We start from the raw sequence: 3,497 nt of genomic DNA on the forward strand, positions 1-3,497 counted from the left end.
AGAAACTCCTAGGCCCAAGGGATTCTCCTGCCTCAGCCTCCCAAGTAGCTGGGAATAAAGGCACATGCCACTATGCCCGGCTGTTTTTAAATTTTTTGTGCAGATGGAGTCTCACTATATTGCCCAGGCTGTTCTTGAACTCCAAGGCTCAAGTGATCCCCCTACCTCAGCCTCCCAAAGTGCTGAGATTACAGTCATGAACCAATGCTCCCAGCCCTGAAATGGAAAATTTCTTTTGTTTGTTTGTTTGTTTGTTTGTTTGTTTTTTGAGACAGAGTCTCACTCTGTCATCCAGGCTGGAGTGCAGTGGCATAATCTCGGCTCACTGCAACCTTCCAACTCCCGGGTTCAAGCGATTCTCTGCCTCAGCCTCCTGAGTAGCTGGGATTACAGGCACCTGCCACTACGCCCAGCTAATTTTTGTATTTTTAGTAGAGACAGGGTTTCACCATCTTGGCCAGGCTAGTCTTGAACTCCTGACCTCAGGTGATCCACCTGCCTCGACCTCCCAAAGTGCTGGGATTACAGGCATGAGCCACTGCGCCCGGCCCTGAAATGGAAATATTTCAAAGGGAAAACATCTAACGTTCAAGTTATTATCTATAGAGCAGTTAACAGGAACTATCATTTAGGGTCCATCGTGAGGCAGAAATTTAAAAATAATAAGTACTGAATTTATTTACTCCAAGAAAAGTAAAAGCTAAGGCCCAGAGTGTGGCAAGGCAAGGGTTAAAAAGAAAAAAGAAAAGCACAAGTTTTCCTCTGCCTAGCAGCTCACTTCCAGGACCTTATCAAGAAGATAACGATGTCCAAATAGCCAAGGCCAAAGGAATGGGCTCCAGACACCCCTCCCTTCCAGAGCAATGTTGAAGGAAAAAAAAAAAAGAGACAGATTCTTTTACTGTTACTCTTTTGCAAGTCTTCTTAAGCATTATTATGTTTTACAAATGTCTGTATTTAGCCAGTTCTTGTTTTTCTTTCAATGCAGCTACAAGGACACTGGCTATGCAAGGTCATAAATTATGTTATGCTATAGATTACATGACCTGTCACTGTATGATTAACTGCTTTTGTTTGGCATCTGTAAGACAGCGTATAAAAACCCCACTTTGTCTTCGTTCAGTCCTCAGCTTTTTGGATATGAATCGTCTGAGCCAGTGCGTACCTAAAATATAAACAAATCCTCCTGTACTCCATATTGGTCTCTCCTTCCTCAGTTTACCACAACAATGGGATTCTAGGACACTAGGTATGAAGCAAATATGAGGAAGTTCAGGGAACAAGCTGACTTAATGATTAATGCTGAAGGTTCTGCAGCTTGGTTTAAGTTTTCTCCTCCCATCCTCCCTGATGAATTTGATAAAGTTTAAAGGGATGGTTTCACCAGGGGCCTTTTCCATTGACTGCAAGGAGGTCATCCGCCTGGTAAATCCTCAGTAGGCCAAGCCTCTTATGTGGCCAGAATGATCCAGTCCATAAGGAAATACCACCTGCTGTGTTTTACAATTAGACCATCCAAGGGGGTCAGGGTTTCCCCGGGGAGTCTGGTGGGCTTTTTATGGGTTTTTTTGTTTTTGATTTTTTTTTTTTTTGAGACAGTGTCTTGCTGAAGTTCAGTAACCTGATCACAGCTCACAGCAGCCTCAAACTTTGGGGCTCAAGTGATCCTCCTGCCTCAGCCTCCTGAGTAGCTGTGATTACAGGTACACACCACCTCTCCTGGCTAATTAAAAAATAGATTTATGGAGATGGGAGTGTCTCACTTCACTGCTCAGGGTGGTCTTCAACTTCGGGCTTCAAGTGATCCTGCCACTTTGGCCTCCCAAAATGTTGGGATTGCAGGCATGAGCCATGGCACCTGGCCTCCCAGGCTGTTGTTGAAAGGTCTTTGCAATCTCTAAGAGTTCTGCAGCAGTTTATTCCCTGACAGCGAGAGTCTCATCCTTTGATCCCATTTTGCAGCAGTAGTTGGGTGTTCACTTTTCTTTCCATAAGGAAGCAAGCTTGCCAGTGACCCTCATCCCCCTCCTCATCGATGACTTCTTTGTCATCAGAGCCTTCCTCTTCATAAATTCCCACGGAATCCAAGTTTTCACGTCCCGATTGGGCTTAGTTATGATAGCTACTGGCTCACACAAGCTGCAACAGCACCCCGTCCCATGGAAGCCACCCGACTCTCTCCTCCCTGAGTTTCCTGTCCTGGGAGCCCCCATCTCTGCTCTCCCGGGCTCCGGGCCCTAGAGCCGCACTGCTGCAGAGCCCAGTTCCCAGGGCAGCTCCCTCCACCTATCCACATCCATCTCCAGCTCTCCACCCTCTCTCCCACCAGCCTGGCCTGGAGGTGCTGCAGTGTCATTGACTGCGAGTCCCTCAGCTGCCACCTCCACCGCGATCTGGAAGTCTTTCAAATGCCCTTAAGTTATCTTAGATTTTTCCTCCCCCACTTTATACATAAGCATAGGAGGAGAGCAGGGACTCTGCTGGTGTCTTATTTACACAATGGGATTGAAGGTGTTTGTCTCGCGAAACTAATCGATGGGGTGAGAAGTAGCTGAATAACCTGCAGGGGGCAGCAGAGCCCAAGGCCAGTGATTCCACGTTGAGGACAGTCTCTGCAGCCTGCAAAGGGAGGGAAAGAGAGTTTCCCTGGGGGCTTCGCGGGCAGCCCACCCCCTTCTACAAGTGGCCTCCAGCTGCTCAGAGCAGCTCCAGAAAGGGTGTGGATTCCGAGAAGCTGCAGAGCCCTGGAAAGCAGAAGACCCATGTGCAGACGCATTTGTGGCGTCTCTGTCCTTTCTGGTGTTGTACCTCTGGAGCTGTCTTCTGGGCAGGGTTTGGGGTTTGACATGCATGGGGTCGTTGGGGTCAGAGTTATTTGTATAGATAAAGAAAATGTGTGGCCGGGCGCGGTGGCTCACGCCTGTAATCCCAGCACTTTGCGGGGCCGAGGCGGGCGGATCAAGAGGTCAGAAGATCGAGACCATCCTGGCTAACACGGTGAAACCCCGTCTCCACTGAAAATACAAAATATTAGCCGGGCGTGGTGGCGGGCGCCTTTAATCCCAGCTACTCCGGAGGCCGAGGTAAGAGAATGGCGTGAACTCGGGAGGCGGAGCTTGCAGTGAGTCGAGATCGCACCACTGCACTCCAGCCTGGGCTACAGAGCAAGACTCCGTCTCAAAAAAAAAAAAAAAAAAAGAAAGAAAGAAAAGAAAATGTGTGAAGATCAGGCTAGAGCTAGAGACAGAATTGTTTGGTGGCGTCACCTGGATAAAGGGTTCATGAAGTTGACAGTTTACTTAGGTCAGAAACAAAACCTGGTGAGAGTTTCCTGCTGGTGAAAATGAAGATCTGAAAGGAGGAAGCATTTTCACAAGGGGATGGGGGTGTGTGAGCAAGGCTTGGCCACGCCTCATCCCCAATTCCGGCCCGCTCGAGGACATATGCCTCTCCTCCTGGTGCAGTCGTGCCTGGCCTGGTCTCGGTTCCCCTGCTGC

General features: G+C 48.7%; 1 protein-coding gene across 1 annotated transcript in view, besides 2 other annotated features; it reads left to right on the plus strand.

Annotated features, from left to right (window-relative positions):
* Positions 1 to 3,497, plus strand: part of ZNF69 (zinc finger protein 69) — a 92,441-nt gene that overhangs the window by 33,471 nt on the left and 55,473 nt on the right. The gene's annotated exons all lie outside the window — the stretch shown is intronic.
* Positions 1,761 to 2,551: an enhancer, noted in NCBI's record as "H3K4me1 hESC enhancer chr19:12033828-12034618 (GRCh37/hg19 assembly coordinates)". NCBI's record gives its function as "activates a minimal SCP1, AML or CMV promoter by ChIP-STARR-seq in naive H9 embryonic stem cells {active_cell/tissue: H9 hESC(naive)}" and the evidence as "EXISTENCE:reporter gene assay evidence [ECO:0000049][PMID:30033119]".
* Positions 2,552 to 3,341: an enhancer, noted in NCBI's record as "H3K4me1 hESC enhancer chr19:12034619-12035408 (GRCh37/hg19 assembly coordinates)". NCBI's record gives its function as "activates a minimal SCP1, AML or CMV promoter by ChIP-STARR-seq in naive H9 embryonic stem cells {active_cell/tissue: H9 hESC(naive)}" and the evidence as "EXISTENCE:reporter gene assay evidence [ECO:0000049][PMID:30033119]".

The sequence above is a fragment of the Homo sapiens genome, chromosome 19, assembly GCF_000001405.40.
Source record: "Homo sapiens chromosome 19, GRCh38.p14 Primary Assembly".
Lineage (NCBI taxonomy): Eukaryota > Metazoa > Chordata > Mammalia > Primates > Hominidae > Homo > Homo sapiens.